Source organism: Homo sapiens, chromosome 8 (genome assembly GCF_000001405.40).
Source record: "Homo sapiens chromosome 8, GRCh38.p14 Primary Assembly".
Lineage (NCBI taxonomy): Eukaryota > Metazoa > Chordata > Mammalia > Primates > Hominidae > Homo > Homo sapiens.
Genome location: NC_000008.11, coordinates 11,420,198 through 11,444,929, shown reverse-complemented (window position 1 = coordinate 11,444,929; position 24,732 = coordinate 11,420,198). Strand labels below are relative to the sequence as shown.

The 24,732-nt window shown below is 50.2% G+C and overlaps 1 protein-coding gene and 1 long non-coding RNA gene across 7 annotated transcripts in view, besides 8 other annotated features; one reads left to right on the top strand and one right to left on the bottom strand.

Moving 5' to 3' along the window:
• FAM167A (family with sequence similarity 167 member A) overlaps positions 1 to 23,454 on the top strand; it is a 54,433-nt gene extending 30,979 nt beyond the window's left edge. For all 6 annotated transcript variants that reach the window (XM_011543840.4, XM_011543838.4, NM_053279.3 and 3 more), the window contains 2 exons: positions 122 to 899; positions 20,294 to 23,454. In XM_011543840.4, coding sequence (XP_011542142.1) covers positions 519 to 899; positions 20,294 to 20,557 — 645 coding nt within the window. In that variant the 5' untranslated portion in view covers positions 122 to 518 and the 3' untranslated portion in view covers positions 20,558 to 23,454. The remainder of the gene's footprint in view (positions 1 to 121; positions 900 to 20,293) is intronic.
• Positions 1,494 to 2,085: an enhancer, noted in NCBI's record as "H3K27ac-H3K4me1 hESC enhancer chr8:11300354-11300945 (GRCh37/hg19 assembly coordinates)". NCBI's record gives its function as "activates a minimal SCP1, AML or CMV promoter by ChIP-STARR-seq in primed H9 embryonic stem cells {active_cell/tissue: H9 hESC(primed)}" and the evidence as "EXISTENCE:reporter gene assay evidence [ECO:0000049][PMID:30033119]".
• The window catches only part of FAM167A-AS1 (FAM167A antisense RNA 1), a 70,256-nt gene continuing 51,796 nt past the window's right edge, over positions 6,273 to 24,732 (bottom strand). Inside the window, exons 4-7 of the long non-coding RNA NR_026814.1 lie at positions 10,795 to 11,010; positions 9,828 to 10,100; positions 6,720 to 6,890; positions 6,273 to 6,494 (exon numbers count right to left, since the gene is read on the bottom strand). This is a non-coding gene — a long non-coding RNA (FAM167A antisense RNA 1). The remainder of the gene's footprint in view (positions 6,495 to 6,719; positions 6,891 to 9,827; positions 10,101 to 10,794; positions 11,011 to 24,732) is intronic.
• Positions 6,510 to 6,713: a silencer, noted in NCBI's record as "fragment chr8:11295726-11295929 (GRCh37/hg19 assembly coordinates)". NCBI's record gives its function as "represses an EF-1alpha promoter that drives an FKBP-Casp9 reporter gene in an ReSE screen in K562 erythroleukemia cells {active_cell/tissue: K562}" and the evidence as "EXISTENCE:reporter gene assay evidence [ECO:0000049][PMID:32094911]".
• Positions 7,989 to 8,508: an enhancer, noted in NCBI's record as "H3K4me1 hESC enhancer chr8:11293931-11294450 (GRCh37/hg19 assembly coordinates)". NCBI's record gives its function as "activates a minimal SCP1, AML or CMV promoter by ChIP-STARR-seq in naive H9 embryonic stem cells {active_cell/tissue: H9 hESC(naive)}" and the evidence as "EXISTENCE:reporter gene assay evidence [ECO:0000049][PMID:30033119]".
• Positions 8,509 to 9,028: an enhancer, noted in NCBI's record as "H3K4me1 hESC enhancer chr8:11293411-11293930 (GRCh37/hg19 assembly coordinates)". NCBI's record gives its function as "activates a minimal SCP1, AML or CMV promoter by ChIP-STARR-seq in naive H9 embryonic stem cells {active_cell/tissue: H9 hESC(naive)}" and the evidence as "EXISTENCE:reporter gene assay evidence [ECO:0000049][PMID:30033119]".
• Positions 19,238 to 19,429: a silencer, noted in NCBI's record as "fragment chr8:11283010-11283201 (GRCh37/hg19 assembly coordinates)". NCBI's record gives its function as "represses an EF-1alpha promoter that drives an FKBP-Casp9 reporter gene in an ReSE screen in K562 erythroleukemia cells {active_cell/tissue: K562}" and the evidence as "EXISTENCE:reporter gene assay evidence [ECO:0000049][PMID:32094911]".
• Positions 19,238 to 19,861: a biological region, named in NCBI's record as "H3K27ac-H3K4me1 hESC enhancer GRCh37_chr8:11282578-11283120".
• Positions 19,319 to 19,861: an enhancer, noted in NCBI's record as "H3K27ac-H3K4me1 hESC enhancer chr8:11282578-11283120 (GRCh37/hg19 assembly coordinates)". NCBI's record gives its function as "activates a minimal SCP1, AML or CMV promoter by ChIP-STARR-seq in naive and primed H9 embryonic stem cells {active_cell/tissue: H9 hESC(naive and primed)}" and the evidence as "EXISTENCE:reporter gene assay evidence [ECO:0000049][PMID:30033119]".
• Positions 19,862 to 20,405: an enhancer, noted in NCBI's record as "H3K27ac-H3K4me1 hESC enhancer chr8:11282034-11282577 (GRCh37/hg19 assembly coordinates)". NCBI's record gives its function as "activates a minimal SCP1, AML or CMV promoter by ChIP-STARR-seq in naive H9 embryonic stem cells {active_cell/tissue: H9 hESC(naive)}" and the evidence as "EXISTENCE:reporter gene assay evidence [ECO:0000049][PMID:30033119]".

Here is a 24,732-nt window from a genome sequence, read left to right as displayed (position 1 = left end):
ATGAGAAGCGCAGCCACCAGTCCACTCTGAGCCTCAGTTTCCCCTCCTGTGGAGTGGACGTGCCCGCCTCTGAGTGGCAGGGCAGGGATCGGGACTGATGCGGTTCTCATCCCTCCCACAGGGTCTCCAGCCACCTGCCCTTCCCGAGAAGAGAGAGCTCTGGGCCTTCTTCCTGCCAGTCTGGTCTTCGAGTGCGTTCAGGACAGATAGACCTTGGCACAGGCTGCCCCGAGATTCCTGCGACGCTGTCTGTTCCTGCCTTCTGTGGAGCATGGCACCCACAGGCTTCCAGGACGGATCATAGACCCGAGCCTCCAGGAGGGCGCCCTGTGCGGCTCACTGCGCGGTCCCTCTCAGCTCCCCTGCCACCCAGCCTCTGAGGCCGGCTCCTGTCCCGGAAATGCCCTCGGGCACCTGGATGAGGCCATCCCAGAGCGGGACCCAACTGTGCCACCCACCAAGCCTCCCCCTGCGCCCCCCGTGCCCTCGCATGTCCGGCTGCCAGGGCAGACTGTAGAATGTCTGTGCCCCAGATCCACGTGGAAGAAGTGGGTGCAGAAGAGGGGGCGGGAGCAGCCGCACCACCCGATGACCACCTCCGGAGCCTGAAGGCCCTCACCGAGAAACTGAGGCTGGAGACCCGCAGGCCCTCCTACCTGGAATGGCAGGCCAGGCTGGAGGAGCATACCTGGCCCTTCCCGAGGCCGGCTGCGGAGCCACAGGCGAGCTTGGAGGAGGGGGAGCGTGGGGGGCAGGAGCCCTTGCTCCCCCTGAGAGAGGCTGGGCAGCACCCCCCTTCTGCCAGGAGTGCCAGCCAAGGTGCCAGACCCCTGTCCACTGGCAAGCTGGAAGGCTTTCAGAGCATCGATGAAGCTATAGCCTGGCTCAGGAAGGAACTGGTGAGTGGCTGCCCCCAAGAATCCCCAGAAAAGAGGAGATGCCACCGTCTCTCTGTGTCTTTTTCTGTCTCTCTCTGTCTGTCTCCCCACCCCCACCATGTATTTCTTCCCCTCTCTCTAACCCCCAAGTGCACATCTGTAATCTTCCCGTGAGTTGAAGGCAGGCGTCATTTGTATGTGGCTGGGGGGACCCAGGTGTCATCAGCCCCTAATTGCAGACACTAATGAAGGAAGCAGGTGTTTTCTGGCAGAACCTGAACCCATGTTAAGGTGTACCCCCCTCCCCCCAACACCGCTCCCAGTACTGGAGTCTGGCTCCTGGGGTGTGACTGCCCCTCCCTCTGTGCTGGAACCTCCCCACCCTGCTGTCCACCCCAGCTGCCTGCCACTCCGGGGACCACTCTTCTGCACGTGAGCGGCCTCTTCTTGTGCTGGGCGCTGGCCGGGTGGCTCCATGGGGCACAGTGGCTGGGGTGTGGCTGTGCAGGGCGCTGCTGTGAGGAGCTGGCTCGGTGTGGAATGTGCTCGAGTGGTGAGGAGTTGTGGAGCTGCCCAGAGTCGGCGGGATGGGTCCTGCCTGGGGAGAAGCTCGGTGAGGAGGCTCAGAGGAGGAGTTGGCTCAGAAGTCAGGGCGGGGCCAGGTGTGAGGTAAAGGCACATTGTGTTTGAGCTGGGACCGCAGCGCGGTCACTTTCCTGCTCATAGGCAAAGCAGATTCCCAATAGGAGCATCTTTTGTGCATGGTGACTCAGCCTGAGAACAGGGTGGGGGGGCAGAGCTGGGTGCCCTGTCCCCTTCCACCCCCCCAGGGGAGAATCACCCGTGTCTGGCACGACAGCCTCTCAGCAGCACCAGGCATGAAGCTAACCCTACCCCAGCTCTCAACCCCTGCCCCACCCCGTCCCTGAGGCCCAGGTGACACCTGCGAGTCAGGCCACTCTGGCCACAGGTGAGCCAGCCATCAAGGGCAGCTGCCTTCCAGAGCCGGCAGTGGCTCTTGGGTCAGCTGGGTAGGCTGAGGCCTGCTTGGTTTGTTTTGCAGAATCCCGAAAACTAAATCCCCATGAGGCCTGGAATGCCTCAGGGGCTGAGAGAATCCACTGGGGTTTGGAGTGGGGCAGGGCTCAGGGACGCAGGGATCTGACTGATTAATTGGAAGCCTGTTTGCGTTTTAACACTTGATACCGAGAGTGCTTCTCAGAACACACCATTCTATTATATCCGTCTTTAGTAACGAGAGGGTGCATGTGCTGTCGGCTTCGGAGAAGATGAGGCACCTGCGGGTTTGAGCCATATCTCTGGGGTGCTCTATCACCCCTGGTGCTCTTGGTGGGGGGTATAAGAGGTGAGGGGAGATGCACAGTGCCCCAGGACAGACCGCGCACAGCCCCCAGCTGCTCTTTGAATGGCTGAGGCTAAACTGCTTTGATTTGCTTTCTTAGGAAGGAACAAAAAACATTCTTGTTCATCAAAGATACTATTTGTTGGTTTCGAGTTCGAGATTTTATTGCCTGTGGGAGCTGAGGCTTTTTCTTTTTAAGGAAGTTAGCATTCCGCATAGCGCCCACTAGGATGGAGTTTCCTAGAATTTGTCCTGCTTATCGTCCTTTAGTCTCCTCACTCTGGCGTGTACCGTAACCACCTGGGGAGCTTTTAGGATTCCCAAAGCCTACGCCACACCGAAGACCAATCCAATGAATGTCTGGGGGTGATAACCACACGTGTGGTTTTTAAAGCTCCTGCGTGCTTCTCATGTGCAGCCTGGGCCTCGAGTCTACAAGTCATGCTCACATCTCCTGCCAGGCCTGTGAGCCAAGCAGCATGAAGTGCCCTGCCCAGTGTGCTGGCCAAGCGAGGAAGGTGGCCCAGGGTGAGGCACAACCGTGGGTGATGTGTAGAGCCAGGCTCCATAGGCCAACAGCAGAGCAGAAATTGTCAGGACTAATCTGACTACCAAAGGCTGTCGTACATAGGGTAAAGGGAATATTAGCATTATTAAAAGTGCTTTATATTTGCACTGTTTCCGCTCCTCTAGCCACTTCCCTGTGCCACCAGGGGTGTGTCCTGTATGCCAGGCACTTCGCAGGCATTACTCACCTCTTCTAATTGTCGGATGACCTTCCTGGTACCCCTGCTTTTCCTGTTTGATTCCCAAAAATGTAAATCACAAAAATGTCAGCAGGCAACAGAATGCATGGGGGTGGGGGCAGAGAGAGAAACAGGACTGAATGAGTTGCAGCCTCATTCCGTGATCTCTGATTCTTACAACAAGACTACATGATTGCCCTCACTGTGTCCATTTCATGGATGGATAAATTGAGGTCCACAGAAGTCAGGTGACCTGCTTAGGATGACATGATGAGTGAGCCACAGAGCCGGGGCTGGAACTCATACAGGGTAGAGAGCTATGGGGAGAGAGGTAGCAGGTGAGGCTCGTGAGGTGGCCCAACGCAGAGGGTTCCACTGGGCATGCTCAAAGAGCAGCGACCAAGGAGATGCATGCTCCAGAAATCATCCTCATCACAGGATAGAGAATCTCTCAGAGCATTGACTGCCAAACTCTAATGTGCATGCAGGTCACTGGGGCTCATGTGCAGATGAAGATTCTGGTCCCTTTGGTTGGGAATGGAGCTTGTGCTTTCGAATTTCCAACAAGCTCTAAGGTGACACTATTCTGTTAGTCCCTGGGCCACACTTAGGGTATCAGGGAATGAAAGGAGGGCGAGACCAGGGCCAGGGGACCAACAGGGGACCTGAGAGGACAGACCCAGGGATCCCCAAGCGGGAGCTCTGAGCCCTGTGTCTGTCATAACTGCCCATGTGGCTTGGGGCTCCTTCGGTGAATGGGCCTCAGTGAACAAACCCACAGCATCCCACCCTGAGTGGTCCAAGAACCACACTCATTCAGAAGATTGCGACTCTGAGGCCCAAAGTACACCAGACACAGACTGGCTGGCAGGTAGGCAGGCAGGCTGGACGTGCAGTTCCGCCTGCTGCTGGGATTAGAAAGCAACTTGCAAAAACCCTTTGATTGGATTGAAAACTGAGAGTTCAGCGTTGGAGAACAAACACATTCTGCTCTATTTAAGTCTCAGTCAAAACGTTAAACTTAATGCCATGGTTTCCCTCATTCATCCTCTTAACTCATTGAAGGTACCTTTAAAAATTAACCTATTTAACTCAGTGAAAGTGATTTGCATAACCTTTTCTGTCATATTTTAAGCCCAGAAGGTGGTTTTCTCTACACCTGGGCAAGCCCTTCCTACAGATTTGTTAGGCTCAAGTGCAAATGTGTTGTTTGTTCTCACGTGGCCAAGGAAATCGATTAGAAATCTGTAATTCCCTTAGTCGTGTGGATATTTTCTGTAACTTAAAGGGAGTTTTGACTGCAGGAGAAGGCAGACTCTAACCTGTCCTCTGACCACCTAGCAGCTCTCCCAGGAGGCAGTGGTCAATGTCACCTCAACCAGAGGCAGGCAGTGCTGGGTCTGGAAGCATCGTCTTAATCTGCTCCCGCCTCCTGCAAGACCAGCTAAAAGGCAGAATGATTGCCTGACTGTGGCTGATCTCTGAGGCTGGGAGGATCCTAACAGCTCTCAGGGGTCAGCTCTCCCTCTCAGCTTTCAAGGAAATGACTGTCACTCCTGACGCCCCCCAGGGATCAGCAAGTAGATCAGATTTTCCTTCAGGCTAATGTGTTGGGGATTCAAGGCTGATGGAGATCCTCCAAGCCTCTTAGTGCGACTCCCAGCTAAGACGGCCTGACCTTGGGCTCCCCGGGGCGGAGCTGGAGATGTGTGGCTCTCTGGCTGTGGCAGGCAGGGCTGCGGCCACCTGACTCCTCCAGGCGAGGCCCAGTCTCGCTGCTCCTGGGACACTGGCTCAGGGGAGTGGCCGTTGTGCAGCTGCAGTTCTAGGCTGCTCAGGTCCCCAGAAGGTCACAGCCCCCAGGTTTCACCTTCCAGGCAGCCGAGTAGCCTGGGTGGGAGTGGGGGGAGGGCATTGCTTGAGGAAGTAGGGGAGCTAGGAAGAGCATGATCTGGAGCTGTGGGATTCTCTCCTCTCTAGCTGAGTCCGGAATTCAGAGCATTCACACACGCCTCTGCCCGGGCTTTGGTCCATCAGCCAACTCCCTGGGATGGGGCCCTGGGCACTCAGCACAGGGGAGCAGGGACCCTCCTTTCTGTTTTCTCTCTTCATTCACACCCACAAGTTCCCCTTGCCAACCTGGAAGACAGAGAAAAGGGGCAATAAAGTCTTCCACGTGGTTTATGCAGTGCCAGGATGAAAACCAAAACCTTCCGGCTTCCTAATGGGCAGTTTGTAGTGAGAAGCCCTGGGCACCCACTGATATTTTTCTTCTAGTTTCACGCAGGTGTGTGATCCCTGCAGACACCCTCCTCCCGCAGTCTCCTCCCTCCCCCCGCACCAAGGAGGTGTTTATGGCTGTTAGAGAGAGAGAAGAGAACCTTGACAAGTTTTCATCACTTAGGGCCTGTCATGGCAGGAGGCCTGTGACCTAAACTCAGCTGGCCCCACTGTGGCCACAGCGTGGCTTCGAGGGGGCTGCCCTCTCCCTGTTAACCCTCTGTTGCCTGTGCTGCCTGCTTGGTATGCACAAGACTCTGGTATGTCAGGGGACAGCCCTCTGAGGCAGGTGTCATCCATGTGTGCTAAGCAGTGTGGCCAAATGGCAGGTCATACTCACCAGTGTCTTCCGACGGGAAGTGGGCGATACAGCCAGGTTGATACCCCCCATCTAGGGAACCTTCCATATACACTATCCTGCAAGAAGGCTTGGAAGTATTTGCTATTCCCATCTTACAGAGGAGAAGACTGAGGCTCAGAAAGGTTGTAGAACTGAGGGACAGAAAGTTTAAAGCGACTTGGCCAAGGTCATATGCAAGGATGTGGCTAAGCCACGACACAGACACACATCACTTGGTTCTGGATCCAGATCTCTTTGTTCTGGGCACATCAGATGTCCAAGTCAAGGGGCCCTGAGCTGCCAGAAAGCCCGTGCTTAAACCCTTCAGAACAGGGTACTTGTAAAAGGTCACACAGGAGGTTGCTAGCACTGCCTCATAACAACCATTTCCAGGGACAGGGCAGCTGTACTGTTTCAGGATGAAGGTAGCAAGTTGCTCGGAGCCATCAGCGAGGCACTGGCTGAGCGGGGATTTGGTTCACAAGAGAATTCCTCGTCCCAGCCTCTGTTCTCCCAAGGCTAAGTCTTCTCTGCATAGCCCGGTGCTTTCAGCCTGTCTGGCACCAGCCCTGCAGGAGGAAGATTCCTGTTCTATTCATCTGGGCAGATACGGCCTCGTGGGGGTTACCAAAGAATGTATAAACAAAAGAACCAGGAAAGGAAATACACCAAAACTTGATGATCTTTATTTCTGAGTGGTAATATTATTCTTTTGACTTTTTTATAGTTTTCGAAGTTTCCAAAATAGGAATATATCATGTATAATCAAGGGGAAAGACATTATTGAAAGACCAAAGAAGCAAAAGTGCTAGCACCAGGCTCTTCTCTCCCTTGCCAATGTAATCGGTATGCATTCTTCACCTTGTACTTCTGTAGCATAGAATCTCCTAGAATAAAATAAAAGTAAGGCCTTCAATCTCCCAACATTCAAATAAAAGTAAGGCCTTCAATCTCCCAACATTCCTGTTTGATGTGAGAGCTGATGAGTTGGGGCTGCTGGCCAGGGAGCTGCAGCTGACCCCAACCGGGAGGTCCTGCCTGCTCTCCCTTTCCTGGCTGTCTTGCAGGGTCAAGGAGAAGGGAGTTGGAGGATCCCCACAGCAGCACCTCACCGGAATAGCAGCTCATGGCGATTCCGGGGCTGAGAGAGGCAGGCGGAAGTCTTTTCATCCAGCCCCATGTCCATTCAGCACTACCGGCCTCCACTGGCCGCCTGGCTTCCGTGCTGGGGTGGGGTGAGGCCAAGGTGGATGGGTCAGGGCTCCTGTCTTTGTGAAGTTTCCCTTCGAAGGAGAAGACAGGCACATAAACACAGTGGCATGGTGTGACAAAAGTTATAATAGAGATGCAGTAAGTTGAGTTCTGAGATGATCTGGTGAGCTGAGGGCCGTGCTGAGTGGATGATGGTGGATGATGAAATTAACCAAAGGGAAATACGCAAATTCCTCACTTCCTTGGCAGCCAGATCCATGCCTGTCCACGTAATTGCATTAAGTTTCTCCTTATTTCCCATTCACGTTTCTTCTATAATAATAAACTCAATTCCTCTGATGGGCACCCTCCCCATTATAACAGCACACGACGGTATGGGGTAGTGACTACTGGGTGAGGCACCTAGAGCGTTTGCTAAAAATGCAGATCCCTCCCAGCCCTCCATGGAAATTCAGATTCCATAAACCTGGGGAGGTGTTGGGGTTTTAACAGGTATCTGCAAGTGATTCTAATACAACTGGCTCATTAACTGGTCAAGAGTGCACTGGAAAAAGCATAATATGTGTAATTAGATTCAACTTCAAGTCAGATTCTACCATATCCTAGTTGTGTGCCTTTAGGTAAACCAATTAACCAAGACTTCTTGGTTTTGTGATTGTAAAATGATAAATCCCTACTTGGCAGCGCGTTGAGCAGGGAGGAGGGGAATGAGTGGCATTAGGACACTGAACAGTTGCTGGGCCCCTGGGATGGTTGGGTACTGTATTACGCATGTTTATACACACGCCTCACATCATTCAGTAGCCACAGCAATCTTTCCGGGTAGGCACGATTACTATCCCCATTTCACAGATGAGAAAACTGAGGTTAAAAAACTTGCCCAAGATCAATCAGCAGAGCAGGAATTTGAACTCAGATCTGCCCGACCTCAAAGCCCTGCAGTGGGTCTGGATTCACCCACCATGCTATAGGAAACTGTGAGGCCCCTGGCAGCTGAAGCCCAAAGCATGTTCTTCCCAAGAAGACAGGTACCCGAGTAATGGAGTATGAAGTGACTTTGGAGAACAAAACAGCCTCAAACTTGCCTGGAGGCTGGGGCAGAAAATAGATTTGCCTCACTTCCCTTTGGAGGCGCAGGCAGGAATCTATAGCAACTGCAGGTGCCTGGGAGCCCTATTTAATCCCACAGGTCCCCACTCCAGCAGCTCATGTCCTGTCCTCAGCTCTCCCTCCCTTGAGGTTAGCAGCCTACTGACACCTTCCTAGCTGGTTCTCGCTCAGCATCAGATGTGAAGCTCCCGCTACATCTGTTTCCAAAGCAGGGGATAGAGAACCCAAGAAAAGCCCAGAAATCCCAACAGTTGTGCCCCAGGGGTCTTCTGAGGGCTCTCAGGTGACCCCAGGGCACTTCGGCACTCCATTTCCATAGGACAGTTATCACCTTGGCTAAAGCTTCCAGTTTCATGTAATGCAAGCCCCAATTCCTGCCTGCAGATGGGGGAGGCCTTCCTGCAGGTGGAATTGAGAAGGCCGTGCAGGGGAGCTCCTGTCGGAGCAGGGAGACAGCCCCTGCTAGGGGGTGTCTTCTCTCCCTCCGCCGACTGGCCCAGAGACCCCCAGCAGCATGGCCGAGCTCACAGAGGTGAGGGAGCCAGCCCTTCCTGCAGGTCTTGCCGGGGGCCCAGCAAGAACAGCCGTACCTGGGCCATGCTCGCAGCCTGGCAGGGGCAGCAGTCCTGGGACTGGCTGCTTGGCCTCACGAGGGCCCCCACTTGCTCTCCAGGGGAGTGGCAGGGAAGTTGAGGAAGGCCTTGGCCCCTAGTGGCGGGCCTGGCCCTCCTCATGTGCAAGCTAAGGACACCCCTGAGTGGGAGGGTCCCCACCGCATCTCCAGTCTGAAGTGTATTGGCATTACCAGCCCTTTGACGTTGGCAACACTTGGTGATAGAGACAATAACACAGCCCTACCCAACCCCGGACCATGCTTGGTGACGTGTGACAGGCAGTACAGTTGTCAGCGATAAGGGAGCGCTCAGTAAAGGTGGGTGAAGCTTGGGCTGGGGACCCGCCCTGAGCCAGGCTGTGAGGAGCAAAAAAGGCTCTGGCAGGGACCCGGCACCCAGGAGCTGGGGCAAGCGCCACATGGGAAGTAAAAACGTAACTGAATGGTTTGCTCTGTGGTTCTGTGTATGAAGACGGGATATGGTGGAACTAGTAATTCCGGAACTCGATGTCCTGTACAAAGTGTGTGGATATGGGCTTATTTAATTCTCATAAATGATCAGTAGTGTGTGCCCATTTAATTACGGTCAATTATTATCAGTAAGTGGGTACTATTATGCTCATGTAGCAGATGAGGAAATTGAAGCTTAGGTGTGGGGTGACTTGCCCAGGGTGGCGTCACCAGCAAGTTGAAGAGAAGGACTTTGAACCAGGGGCTGCTCCTCTGTCCTTTCTACTGGCTGCCTCTCCACAGGCCTGGGGGCAGTGGGAGATCCCAGAGGGTGGCGGTCAGCCCGGGTAGCAGAGGGAGGAGTGAGGTCTCCAGGACTGTCCCAGCCGTGGAGACAGGTACTGGGTAATGTAGTGTGGAAAATCAAGACTTGGCTCTGGGGAAATTTAACTAACGGATTGATTCATTGATTCATTCATCTAACAAATGGCTTTTGAGCACCAGAGCATGCCCTAGGCACTGTGGTGGCCCCAGTCTCTGTCTCTCCTCTGGTGTTTTGTCATCTAGACACATGATAAAAAATGAAACCAATGCCCAACACGTGGGTGCCATGGTGGAGGCCGCATGGAGGGGCAGTGGTAGCAGGCGCCCATGGGGCTGTCATCCCCTCTGCAGGGAGAGGGACAAAGGCTGAGCTGGTCCTGAAGGGTGACAGGTGGAGAAGGGACCACAGGGGAGGGGACAGAACCTCAGTGTGGCTGCCCTGTGGGGGCAAGGGCATCAGAGTGGGAGAGGAGGCTGGAGAGGTCAAGGGAACAGGAGGGTCCCGTGATACCTTTGAAAGATTTGAAGAAGCAGGGAGACCTGCCCATCAGCCTCTTGAGTGGAGACAGATTGAGTGAGGGGGGGAGGCAGGCAGGGAGGAGGCCCAGATGCTGGGAGCTGAGGTGCAGAGGACCCAAATGCAGGGGTGGGTGCCAGTGATGCTGTCCTCTGGGCCTGTCCTCACCCAGCCAGCAGCAGTCACATCTCTCCCACTCTCTCTCCGGCACAGAATGTCTTCCTTGGGTGTACAGCTTCCAGAACCTCCTCAGTTCCAAGATGCAATCTGATGGGAGGGGAGGAAGGTGATCAGCATCCTCTCTCTGTGTAGGGCACATGCCACCTGTCCAGAGTCATCATGTCATCAGAGGCTGCACTAGGACTGGAACCCAGAGCCCCTAGTGGCAGATCTAGGGGCTCTTCGGAATGCATCACTCTGTCCTTCCCAAAGGCCAGCCTCACCCCTGAAGGTGTGTAGTTTGGCCCACACCTTCCAAGTTTGAAAAATTAAAGGCCTGATCACAGGGGTAGAGCTTAACTCTTCCTGTGGAGTCCTCGGCAGGGCCCGAAGAGCCTCCTGCTCTATGCCTGGCTCTGGGGCTGTCGTCTCTCCCTCCCAGCAAACTCACCATTCCCCAGGGGGCACAGGAGCCCCTGGCAGGGAGGATCCCTGGAGGCCTGGCTCAGATGGACTCATCTTGCTGTCTCCTTCCTGCATGCAAGTCAGCCCAGTGACAGGAGCCATTGCACCTGCCCCCCTCCCATCCACAGTCCCAGGCCAGGGGCCTGAAAGAGAACCCAGGACCAGCCAGGCTCAGAGTCCCCGCCCTGCAGTCTCTGGGCTGCAGAGCGTGAGTGCGGCCTCGGCTCGCCAGGAGAGTCAGCTTCAGCTCCCTCCCGCTGGGCTGCAGCCTCCCCGAATAGAGACCTCTGGGAAAGAAACTCCAGCCTTCCTCTGGAAATCAATTCACAAGACCAACCTGGTTCCTAGGGGTGTTTGCGTTTCTTTCTTCACATTTCCCCGGAACCTCCAGTTGCCCTTCAGCAGCGTGTTTGAAGGGCACTCCTGCTTTCTTTCCTGCCAGCGTTAATCTGGCTCTTTCTCAGGGACCAAACCCAAGATCATGTAATACAATTTTACCCAGGCTTCTAAGTGGATTCTCCTGCACAACACTGACGAAAATAATAAGGCAGACCTGCAGGTGAAGTTAAATAAGATAAGGAAAGAGATTACACAAATTGTTTCCTGGGTTCAAGAACTGTGAGTCTCATTCCCAAATCGTCGGACAGTGGAACATGTTCTGGGCCTGCACACACAGCTGGCAAAACAGCCTGGATTTTACACGCACCCTCTTTTCAGCATGCATCAGAGACTAATTGTAGCTATTAGGCTGGGATAGGAGAGATAAGAGCCTGACTTTAAGGGACCAGACAAAATGCCCTTCACCACCTTGGCATTCTGTCTGCCTGCCCAGTTCTGAGCTGATTACCACGCTCTCCAGGACACGCACTCTTTCGCCTCTGGTTGGCCCCTGTGCACTGGGATTTCTCTCAAGCCAGCTTTAAAGATGCATCCAGAAATCTCTGCCCCAAACATGTTTTCAGATTTGCTGCCATCACAGCCCTTATTTCACCAAACTAAAAGAACAGAGGGTTTCGTAAGCCAAAGTGCACACAGCCACATTCTTCAGGAATGGAAGCATTAGACGATAGAAAAAAGACAAACTATTAATAGGGTTTCGGGTAAGACTTTTGTTGGAAAGGGGAGGATTTGTCTGGTGGTCCGTGCATTGCCTTTATTTTAGGAAGCAGAAACCATGGTAGGTTAAAGGTAACACCTTCATAGAGTTGCTCCTTGTGCTTCCAATGGTCGGACAATTACATGTTCTTTTTTATTTTTTATTTTTTTTTATCATACTTTAAGTTCTGGATTACATGTGCAGAATGTGCAGATTTGTTACATAGGTATACACATGCCATGGTGGTTTGCTGCACCCAACAACCCGTCACCTACATTAGGTATTTCTCCTAATGTTATCCCTCCCTACCCCCCAACAGGCCCGGGTATGTGATGTTCCCCTCCCTGTGTCCACGTGTTATCATTGTTCAACTCCTACTTATGAGTAAGAACATGCCGTGTTTGGTTTTCTGTTTCTGTGTTGGTTTGCTGAGAATGATGGTTTCCAGCTTCCATCCATGTCCCTGCAAAGGACATGAACTCATCCTTTTTTATGGCTGCATAGTATTCCATGGTGTATCTGTGCCACATTTTCTTAATCCAGTCTATCATTGATTGACATTTGGGTTGGTTCTAAGTCTTTGCTATTGTGAATAGTGCCACAATGAACATACGTGTGCATGTGTCTTTATCATAGAATGATTTATAATCCTTTCAGTATATGCCCAGTAATGGGATTGCTGGGTCAAATGGTATTTCCTGTTCTACATCCTTGAGGAATCGCCATACTGTCTTCCACAATGGTTGAACTAATTTTCACTCCCAACAGTGTAAAAGCATTCCTATTTCTGCACATCCTCTCCAGCATGTTATTTCCTGACTTTTTAATGATCACCATCCTAACTGGTGTGAGATGGTATCTCCTTGTGATTTTGATTTGCATTTCTCTAATGACCAGTGATGATGAGTGTTTTTTATTTGTCTGTTGGCTACATAAATGTCTTCTTTTGAGAAGTGTCTGTTCATATCCTTTGCCCATTTCTTGATGGGGTTGTTCTTTTCTTGTAAATTTGTTTAAGTTCTTTGTAGATTCTGGATATTAGCCCTTTGTCAGATGGATAGATTGCAAAAATTTTCTCCCATTCTGTAGGTTGCCTGTTCACTCTGATGATAGTACATGTCCTTTTTTAAATTTTTAATTCCTAAAATCTTTGGGCCGTTTTAGACCCATAGACATCAGTCCGTGGGATCAGAGAAAGTATTGGAGCAGATCTCATTGGCAACTAAGAGTATTTGCTTCCCTTGAATGTGAAGAAATCACTCAGTGTTTTAGACCAAGCAAGTGAACACAGATCAGCCAGGGGATGTTGAGTAAGGATGCAAATTCCACAAAAATGCTGCCTTTCCCAAATGCACATCCTATGTTAGACTAGCCTTTGCCAGGGACAGCATGAAACCCACACTGAGAGTTGAGTCACCCCGGCCAGCCTCTCGGGCCTTTGGCAAAGAACAAAATCCTTTTTTTTTTTTTTTTTTTTTTTTTTGCCAATTGGTCCAGTACCCTCCTTCTGTGGCCCCCATCTCCAGTAACCCCCCAGAGAGGCCCTTCTACCTCCCAGACTACTCTTCAGGGTCTCATCAGCTTCCAGTGTCACTCAGGCTAGAGACAACATCACTGAGACCACCCTCCAACTGTCCAGGCTGGGCCCCCATTCCCCAGCACCTGCGGCCACGCTTGCTGCAGGCAGGCTGACCGGCCATCTCTATTTGCCCAGGACTAAGGAGGTCCCCTGGATGCAGTATTCTCAGTGCTAGAACCAGGTAGGTCCTGGGCAAACTGGATTGAACTGATTGCTCTAAATTTGCAGACTCTGCTGTTGTTGTTTAAATGTCAGTAAAATATGTATAATATAAAATGTACCATTTTATATGTACAGTTCACTAAATATATTCACATTGCTGTGCAGCCGTCACCACCATCCATCTCGAGAACTTCATCCTCCCAAATGGAAACTCTGTGCTCACTAAACGCTAACTCCCCATCCCCTCTCCCCAGCCCTTGGCACCACTGTCCTGCTTTCCATCACTATGAATTGGACTACGCTAGGAACCTCTTCTAAGTGGAATCCTACGGTATTTGGCCTTTAGTGTCTGGCTAATTCACTTAGCATAATGTCCTCAAGATTCATCCATGTTATGGCATGTGCCAGGATTGTCTTCCTTTTCAAGGCTGAATAATATTCCACTTTATGGATAGGCCACATTGTGTGGATCCATTCATCTGTGGAGGGCACTGGGTTGGTTCCGCCTATTGGTGATTGTGAACGTGGATGTACAAATCCAGGTTCTAGCTTTTGCCTTCATTTGTTTGGGGTGTGTACCTGGAGTGGCATTGCCATGTCATATGGTAATTCTGTTTAACTTTCCGGGACCCGCCATGCTGTTTCCCACACCTTTCTTAAGGCTTTTGTTTTATTCCACCCAGCTCCGAGGGTAGGAGTCAGCTCTTCTGACTCCCCAGGAAAATCCCCAGGTCCAGAGAGACCCCCCAGCAAACCACTGGCTTGATGCATTAGACTTTTCTATGATCTGAATGTCCTCGGCTGACCTTCCCCTTGCGTTTTTCCTCTCTGGGTCCTTCTTCCAGGGCCGCCTTGGCCGTCTCCTCCAGCCCCCTTGCCACACCCTCCCCTCACCACGTAAAGCTTGGAAGTAAGGAAATCTCTGTCCTCTTCCAGACCCATTTAATTACCATCTTTAGTGACTTAATCCTGCTCTTGGGGGTTTGCCTTCTACCTTGAGAAACAACCTGGCTCTCTCTCTTGCTCTCTTTCTTTAATTGGTGTTTAAAATTTTTCAAAATGACTTCATTGAGATAAACTTTACATACCATACAGTTCACCTATTTGAAATAGCAATTCAGTGGTTTTTAGTGTTTTCAGAGTTGTGCAACCATCATCACGTATAATTTTAGAACATTTCAACACTTCACCCAGGTGCAGTGGCTCACATCTTAACGAGCATTCTTGTCTGCCCCCAAAAAAACAAACATCTGTAGTACAGATCACAAGCACAGCTGTTTCAAAGGGGCCACGTGTGGCTGCCGCCCTTCCCTTCTTCCAAGCCTGGTGGGGACACCCTGTCACCACAGTGCTTGGACAGCCCCCGACCAATGACATCTCTTCCCTTTCAACAAGTTCTGTGCCCTAATTATGGGGTTGCTGGGATTACAGGCTGCACCTCTGAGAATTCAGCAAGTGCTTTTGTTCTCAGAGAGACACCAGGCCACGCTGGGAGCGGGGACTGGAAATTGGCACATCCTATGGTAGAGCCTTTGCCAGAGACAGCATGAAACCCACACTGAGAGTTGAGTCACCCTGGCCAGCTTTTCAGGCTTTTAATGAGGGCTTAAAACTGGGAGGTCCTTGCTGGGTTCCATGTTCTGTGCCTTGGCCTGGAGAGAAAGGACTTAAGTGATGGTGCACCTCTTACTTTGATTTGGCCAGCGTAGTTCATATTTTCTGCCATGCTATTTGTTGTCGAATTTCATTCTCACTGTCCTTAGAAGAGATGAGAAGAGGCCTTATCTCTTTTCTGTAGATGAGGACACAGAAGTTCCAGGTGGCAGTGACTTGCCACCCAACGAGTGAGGAGTGGAGCTCAGCTTGAACCTGGGTTCTAACCCAGGGCTGTGGATTTTCCCTTTCTGCCACCCCTGGGCCCAGCTCGCCTCTGAGCAGACAGGAGCCTGGGAGAGTCTTCCAGCTCTGGGTGCTGACAGGCCCGAGTGTGGTCCAGATGCCATAGGCTGGCTGGCCATGAGCCGTTCCTTTACTTCTCTGAGACAGTTTCCTTGTAAGACAGACTAAAATCACACCTGCCATCTAGAGTTGTGGGAAAACATGATGAAACAATCTATGTCAAACGTGTGCGGCTGCAGCCGGGGCTGTGTTGTCATCCCCGCCTCCAGGGGGCCCCTTGGCAGAGCTTGAAGGGAAAACAGGAGGAGGCACTCCAGTCCCAGCTCAGACCTGCTCTCCTGAACTGGCGCAGCCCTCTGTGCCTTCCCGGGCAACCGCCGTCCTCCCGACTAACTCCACACAGGACCAGCAAAGACATATCTTCATTGCAAATCTCTAAAAAGATTAATTTATAAAAAGCTTCTTAGCCATCAGAAACCAGAGGACATTATGCTAAGTGAAATTAGCCACTCACAAAGGACAAATACTGTGTGATTCTACTTCTGTGAGGTTCTTAGAGTAGTCATACAGACAGAAAGTAGAAGGGTGGGTGCCAGGGGCTGGAGGAGGGGGATGGGGAGTTAGTGTTTGATGGATGCAGTTTCTGTTTAGAACGATAAAAAGAGCTCTGGAGATGGATGGTGGTTGCGCGACAACGTGAATGTACTTAATTGCCACCGAGCTGTACACTTAAAAATGGTTAAGATGATAACTTCTATGTTGTATGGATTTTATCACAACTAGAAAAAAATTCTAGAAACAAATTAAGCCTCTTATTCTTGCACATTTTGCTCAGATTTCTTCAGAGTCTGTGGGAACTCGTGTGGATTTGGTTCAATTACAGCAGAGTGACCTCCTAATCGGGGCTCAAGTTAGTGTTTAAGGTGCAAAGTCACCTTTGCAAAATGTCTGTGTGGCCCAGGGAGCAGCCGAGCATGGGCCCAGCACAGCCAGGGCTCCCGCATCACGGGGACAAACCCTGTTCTTTGGGGCAGGAGATGAATTTGTTGATTTGTGTGCAGGGATCCCAACACACTATGTATTGTGAGCATCTAAATGTGAGAACCCATAGTGCATCCTAGCGAGATGCTCACGCTGTGAGATGCCCTCAGAACCAAAGCCCACTGAGGAAGTTGCAATTCCCAGCCCCCTCCTCATGTTCTCTCAGAGCGCAAGCAGGGAGACCGGCCGGAATCACCATCCCTGTTGAAGCTGCAGCTTTCTTTCTCTTTTCACCCTTACGCAGAATTGAATGCATGTGCACAGCATGGGCGTGCGAGGCAACGCCATCCAGGCGGCCTTTGTCCAGTCCATGGAAACTGACACAGGCCTTACTGTCAGCCCTCTTTCTAGCTGCCTCTGATGGGTCTTAAAGAGTAAATTGTTCTCTGACCTTTGACCAGATCTGTCAGCCACAGAAAAACAGCCCCTTCCTTCCTGCTACCCCACAGAGATGTGTCCGCCACAGCCTGCGTCTCACAGATAGTCTTAGACACCTGGCCACACCCCAAATTCCCCGACTTCAAAGGATCTTTTCACACCAAAGATGCAATTCCTGGGGCCAAAGCTCAAATCTTAAACCATAGGGTTCCTAGTTTTTCAAAAAGATCTATTGTCAAATTACAGAACACTCCAAAGAGAAGTGACAGATGACTGTACTAAGGCAATGGGTGTTCGCAGACAATATCTTTCAGGCAGGTTTGACCCCCATCTCCTCAGAAGGGTTTAGGTAGCACCTAGCTCCGTTCCAGGCTCAGTGAGGGACACCATTACAAAACAAATGACCAGCCACCCTATCATCATTAATTTGGTGCTATTCTAGGTCAATAGAATTTAATTAGCAATAAATTTGAGTTTCTTCAATGCTTGAGGCCCAAGGATTGAAAAGTAAACTAATGAATGTGGCTATGAACTTTAATCCCAATTTTGCCATTAGATACCTTGCTGACTCCCAAGCAAGACTTTCTATCTTGATTTTTCTTATATATGAAATCAGGAGAAAAGAGATCTGTACAAGTGCATAAAAAACGAGAGAGGAAAAAAAGAACATTGAGATGCTCGCTGGCAAGGTCACTTAATTTTTCTACCCTGCAATGTGCTCTATTATAAACCTAACAGGGAGAAAGTGAGAACACTGCCTTCATTTGCATAACTACAGGGCATCTCAGGGCTCATTTTTCTAATCAGTTTGGCTCCAGGCACCAGGTAAATGGCACAGCCGAGCATGTCGCAGAAATACTAAATAACCACTTACAAGTGGAGACAGAGGAAATAGTGAGAAGGATTCAGATCTCGAGTCAAGTAGGAGCAGCTGGCAACCTGTCCCAGTGACAAAGTGCTGCTTACAGAAGGCGCTCTGCACTAAGCCAGTCCCTATGTACCATGTCACAACTGAGAAACCAGCCCTCTGAGCTCCAGCTAGCATGCTGGCTGGTAAAATATGGAGCCAGACTGTCCTGCTGGTACCTCAGGAGTGGCTGTGAGGCCCATCAAGGTTAAACATGAGCAGAAAATACATCTCAGGACTCCACAATCACTAAGCCAAAGGGAAAAGTCAAGCTGGGAACTGCATCAGGCAAAGCTGCCTCCCATTTTATTTCTAGATAAGATAGCTGCAAAGACAAAACCTACATACCTCCCTCACAATTGGCCCACAAAGAACTTCCGTGTTGGGCCCCCAGACCTGTACCCTAAAACAGTTCTGTTGAATTTCACCCTGGCAATGTAAATTGACATCTGATCTTCTCAGGTGCGGGACAAAGGACAAAACTCAAAGTCATCCCTCTGCTCGCCTGAGACGAATGCATACCTGATTGCTTCACGTGCCTTGTGTTTATGTTATCTTCTATAAAAATGCAGATTCAGTGAGCCAGACTAAGACACAAGTGACTTTTCCTCTACCCTAAACAAACATGTAAATTGTGTATTCGGTTGATCAAAGACTGATCAACCAAAGGCTGATCAAAGACCCAAAAGAATGCAATCGTTTGTCTCTTATCTACCTACACCTTTAAAAAATTTCTTCCTCTTCCCCCAGTATCCACTCCTTCCCCTTTAAATATTAAGGCCCTCAAAATCATCTTTGAGGAAAGGCATAGACCTGCCTCCCAGGTGTGCATCCTTAACGTCGGCAAAATAAACTTTCTAAATTGTTGACACCTGTCTCAGACACTTTTGGTTTACAGTGGGTTTGGGAAACTGGGAGTGTGAAGCCAGGTGAGAAATAATTATCACATCTCTTTGTTAACAGAAGAAAACAAACTCTGTAAAATACTTAAAGAGGTTTATTCTGAGCCAGTGTAAGTGACCATGGGCCAGGGAACAGTCTCATGAGGTCCTGAGAAAGCTCGCCCTAGGTGGTCCAGTTACTGTTTGGTTTTACACATTTCAGAGAGACAGGAGTTACAAGCAAAGACATAACTCAATACACAGAAGGTATACCTTGGTTCAGCCTAAACAGGTGGGATATCTTGAAGGGGCTTGGAGGGTGGGGGTGCTTACAGGTCTTAGGTAGATTCAAAGATATTTTTATTGCCAGTTGATTGAAAGAGTTAAGTTTTGCCTAAAGACTTGAAGTCAGTAGAAAGAAATGCTTAAGACAAAGGACAGTTGTGGAGGCCAAGGTTCTTGTTATGTAGATGAAGCCTCCAGGTAGAAGCCTTTAGAGAAAATAGATGGTAAATATCTCTTTTCAGACCTTAAATTTGCCAGACTCTCATTTAATCTCTCCTAGATCTTGGAAAGGCCTAGAAAGGGAAGGCTTGATTGCATTAATGGAAATGCTCTACAGATGTAAGTATCTCCCACAAGAGATGGTTTTGCAGGGCCATTTCAAAATATGTCAAAGAAATATACTTCAGGGTAAAATATTTTTATTTTCTTCAGGGTTTGCTACCTGTTATGTGACGCTATACCAGAGGCAGGAATTTGCTACCTTACTGCCACAAAGAGTCTGTTTTGTCAGTCTTATATCTCTATTTCAATGTTAATGCCGATCTGCTGTGCCTAAACTCCAACAGCAAGGGGGGGTATAACAAAGCATGTCTGAACTCCATTCCCATCACGGCTGGGAATTCAGTTTTCAGGCTTCTCTGGGGTCCTCTTGATGAAGAGCGGGCTTGTTCAGTCAGTTGGGGGGCTTAGGATTTTACCTTGTGTTTACACATCAATAGGAAACATCAAGCCACTAAAAATATTAGGAACCTTCTACAAGGTCACTAAGCACTCTGCTAGCTCCATACACCACACTGCAGCTCGTCCTTGAGCAGCAGAACTTCATTGTCAGTCATTTTGGTTCTGGAGTCCAGCTGTCCGGCTTCCTCATCCCAGCTCGGCTGTGGATGAGCTTTGTGAGCCGACACAGCTAATTCCCTGGCTGTGCCTCTGTGTCCTCCTCTATAAGCTGTGGGTGATGATGGTGACATCACTTCACAGGTTGTAGTGACGGTTAACTGTTGCATGTTAATAGACCCAAAGGCCTTAGAACTGTTTCATAATAAAACACCCAGTACCTAGGAACCAATTTTTGTTTGGCTGTTTTGAAACTTTACTAAGAAATATTTCAGGCATTCTAAAACGTTTAAAGAGTAATGTAACAACATGACACTCCCCAGCGTAAGAAAGAAAACATGGCCATCACAGTCAAAGCCCCCATATACCTTTCCCAATCACAGTCCCTCCTTCTCACCTAGAGGCAACCATCCTCCTGAATTTGATAGCTGTTACCCTATGTTTTCCTTTATACTCTTACTCCATCTAAATGAAACTCTAAACAATGAGAAAGCACTGGAAGTATCTTCTAGCCAGGACCAATATGCATGTCTTTCAGAAGGACTTAGATACAGCAACTAGCCTAGCACAAAGTATTGTTTTGCGACCGCACCCTCATTTGTCACCTTGCTTTCTGTGTCTTTTCACCTCCCTGAGCAGGGAAAGTGCTAATATTTCTAGATGGACCACTTAATGAACTAAGACATTAGTCAGGGCCCTGCTAACCAGTCTGTGCCTGTCAGGGACTCGAGCCACTCTCTGCTGACCCTGCCTGCTCCCCCTCCCTTCCAGACGGAGATGCGGCTGCAGGACCAGCAACTGGCCAGACAGCTCATGCGCCTGCGTGGCGACATCAACAAGCTGAAAATCGAACACACCTGCCGCCTCCACAGGAGGATGCTCAACGATGCCACCTACGAGCTGGAGGAGCGGGATGAGCTGGCCGACCTCTTCTGTGACTCCCCTCTTGCCTCCTCCTTCAGCCTCTCCACACCACTCAAGCTTATTGGCGTGACCAAGATGAACATCAACTCTCGGAGGTTCTCTCTCTGCTGAGGAGCCCTCAGACTGGGCGGAGGGGCTGGAGCGGAGGGCTTGGGCTGGAGGGGTGTCAGAGGAAGCTGAGGCCAAGTTACTCCAGTGGGTCTCCCGGAGGCAGGGGTCCCTGGGACTGGCGACTCAAGGGCCCCAGGACCTATTCAGTGGTGCTCTCCCACCCAGGGGCCCTGGGTGTGGATGCCAGTGTCTCTGTGACTGGCTCTTGCTTACTACCCAAAGAGCTCTGCAGAAGGGCCGCTCCAACCAAGATGTTAAAGGAGACCTGGGTTCCCACCATAATCCATCCCTCCACGGTCACGTTCCTGTTTCCTGGAATCACTGGTGCTATGAACTGGGATTCCCAAAGGGAGGCCCCCCAACAAAGCTGTCATTTTTGCAGAAGGCTGTCCCGCAAGGGCCTTGGGGGAAATTAGGCATGTCAGATGTGCCTGTCTCACGTGCTGTTGCTGTCCTCTAAGTATTGTCTCAAATTCACCCTAAGTACATGACTCAGCAACATTGACAGGGAGCTACTAGGAAGGGAAAATCGAAAGGCATGACAAATGGGCACTTGGGGACGCAGCCCCAGTGGCTGGCAGCCAGTGTCTCTGGTGAGCCTGACACTATAAGGCTGTGTAAATTGTAAATTCTGGCGTGTGCTGGGACATGTGATGGGGGCACTAGCGTAGCTTGGGTGCAACAAGCACAGATGTCCCCATTGTCTCCCCTGGCCACATGCATCTCCAAAGAGCCTCTTCACTGCCACCCACACCCCAGGGTGACAGCCTGGGAGACCACTGGTGACTGAACCAGGCAGGTCCTGAAAGCATTTTCCATAACTGAATTCTCCTGCAGGGGCGTGACCGGGGCCTCCTGGTGGATTCTGGTGGTGTCACCTTACTGCCCTCTCTGGAAAGACAATCTAGGGAGCCCAGAGGCCCATCCTGAGCCTCCTCTGAGATTTTGTGCCTGACCTAAACAACTAGTTTTAATAAGACTGTTACTGATGTGTTGTTCACTTGTTAGTAACTGATTTTTGTCCAAATGCGGAAGCCACTTGTGTAGGTCAACTACAGTGCGTAGGATTTGATTTTAAGAGTTTCTCCCTCCCAACAGGCTTGAGGATCAGCAAGTTAAGACCCCAGCAGGTTAGGGAGGTCAGTCTGGGGTCATACGGCATGGCAGGGGTCCCTCGGCCAGACCCGTAGAATCCTGAGATAAGGAGTGTTTCTGACCTTTGGTGTCATCTAGTCGAGTCCTCTCATTAGTAAAGGAGCAAAGTGAAACCTGGGGGAGGAGAAGGACTTCCCTCAGGTTGCACAGCTGTTTAGGCTATAGAATATTGATGTGTGAAACCATTATTGATAATGCCTAGTAGATCACATGTCAATGAACTTGAACCCCAAAGATGGTCGTGATGCTTTGCCAAACCCGCACACTGCCAACCCCTCTACTCTCCACCTCAGCCCCCACCCACATCTCCCAGAGTATTGCAATTCAGAACATTTGGGTCAAGGTGGAGCAAGGCACTGACAGTGGCCCCACAGGGCATGTGTCACTAATCACTGTCCCATGGTCTACGCACGGCATCTGGCTGCTCTGTCTACTGTGACTTCTTCCTGTGTAATCTCAGTGGGGCCCGTGTCCACCCACACATCGTGACCCACATAGGGGAGAGGTTGCTTTTCTTTTGTGGGCTGAGAGTAGGACAATGCAAATGAATGATCTCTAGTAGACAGAAAAGAACTTGGTCTCTTTTTTAAAATTTCAAAGAGCCAGAAGTTCTATGCCTCCTTCAAAGTAGGCAGAACAACGCAGCCAAGATCTACTGTCTGCCATGCTCTGTGCAATGAAGTCTGCAGGCCTGAGGACCATGTACTGCTGTCCTTCCTCAGAGCTCTGCACAAACACTGCCAAGTCCTGAAGACGCATTCCTTTCCTGCCAACCTCTTTCCAGATAAGCCCTTGAGGTCTCGGGCTGACCTACACACACACACACACACACACACACACACACCCCCACACACACACACACGACAGAGAACATGCCATAAACATCCTTGAACCCATGCAGGAAAGCCCATCCCATATTCTGAAAAAATGCCAAATTAGGTTTTTCTTTCTTTTTGGAAATCAGTCATTACAGTAACCGAAACCATTGGGTTCAGCGAAAATGGAAAGATTTAGCTGAATGTAGTCAGTCCAATTAAGTTGGATGCAACTGAGTGATTTAGTTGCTTGGGTAACCCAGTGCTTGCTTGCTTTCTTCATTCTCTGGGTGGAAACTAAGATCAAGACACATGTTTGGGGATAAGTTAAATGTCTGAGCTATTTTGCTCGGTTTATCCTAAGAGAACTTTATTATGGGATGAGGAGGTGACCCAAGATGAGAAGTGGAGGGGGACAGCGATGTTTTCTAAACATCGTCCAGTGTTGACTGGCTTCCTTACTTTGCACAGTGAACACAACTAACCACATTAATTCAGCTTTGTGAAGTCCCTGCTCTCTGTGGGTCTATGAGTCAGCAGCAACATTGGCCTAACCTCCGTCCCAGCCTCCTGGCTCACCACATGTGTACAGTGCTGTTTGCAGTTGTACTCATTATCCATCCATCTCTCTGCCATCCCCAAGCATCGCTGGGTGTAAAACGCAAACTCTCCACCGACACTGCCATGCGTGGTCATGTCTTGATGCCTTCAGGGGCTCAGTAGCTATCAAAGAGGCCTGGAGGGCCTGGGCAGGCTTGACGATGCCTGACCGAGTTCAAGACCCACACCCTGTAGCAATACCAAGTGCTATTACATAATCAATGGACGATTTATACTTTTATTTTTTATGATTATTTGTTTCTATATTGCTGTTAGAAAAAGTGAAATAAAAATACTTCAAAAGAAGATATCCATATAAAAATAAAAGGAGAGAAAAATGCTTGTCCTTTTAGCTTGTCCCTGTTATAGCACACACAGGATGGATGGATGGATGGATGGATGGATGGATGGATGGACGGATGGACAGATGGATGGATGAACAACAGATGGAAGGAAGGAGGGAAGGAAGATTTTTGCAACCAGATGGAGGCAGGGGAGGGAGAAAAAGATTCACCCAAATCACTGTTCTTCCTTGTATCTTCCCCTTGAGGAAGCTGCTTGGTGGTTGTTACTATCCGGAGTTCCACAGGTAAGCTGAGGTAGAATTAAAAAATGCAGGCTTGATTCCTGAGTTTGACAGAAGCCAGAGCCAAAGTAAACCCACTCTCCTCCAGTGGCCTTTTCCAAAGGTGATCATATTATGCTCTGAGATCTTATGCCTGAAATTTTTTCAGCCACTTAAAGCACCTCTTAAACCTCAAAATCGAGCATGCATGAAAGTCACCTGGGCTGCTGTTACAAATGCATATTCCCAGGAGAAGTACTGGGTTCCAGCCCCAGGGATTCTGGCTGTGTCGCTCCGGGCTTCACAGACGCCCCAGGTGATGGACACAGGTGGTCTAAAGACACTTTGAGAAACCTTTGGAAGACAAAGCAGGTGAGGGAAGGCCCTGTTTTTCACTGATCCCATCTCTGTGTTCTCAGCAAAGACCTAAGTCAGAGGGTCAAAGTGGGTGTCACTAATCCCATTTTGTGGAAGGAACCGCTGAACAACAATTGCAGATCTCTGTCCATCCCTTGAGATGATATCCCCTGTCTACACCAAGAGGAGTGCCTGTGATGTCTCTTTCCACAAAGAGCACACAGTATAAGCTGCTTGGGGGAGAGTGGGCGTGAGGTGGGTAGGGAGCAGGTTACTGGGGAATCTGCCATTGCCCTGACCATGTGGTTCAAAGGGCATTCAAGAAGCCAGGGCCTTTCCACCCTGCCGGTGGGACCACACATGCACTTTTGCAGCCCACAGGGAAATGAATGTGACCTCCAAACAAATCCAACCATTCTAAGTGCCACAGAGAAGATAAAATGTGAGACGGCGCCAGGTGTGGAGGGGGCTGCTTTTCCCAAGTGGTCAAAGCTTCCTGGAGAAGAGCTCTTCCAGTGGCAGTGGCAATTGTGCAGAGGTCAGGGAAAAGAGTGCTCTAGGAAGGAAAAGATAATCCCAGACCCCGAGGTCTGCAGAGGGAGGCCAGCGCAGCAGGCAGCTGCAGAGGCTGGCGGGGGCTCTCCAGCCTGGTAGGGCAGAGTCAGGAGCTGGGATTGTATTCG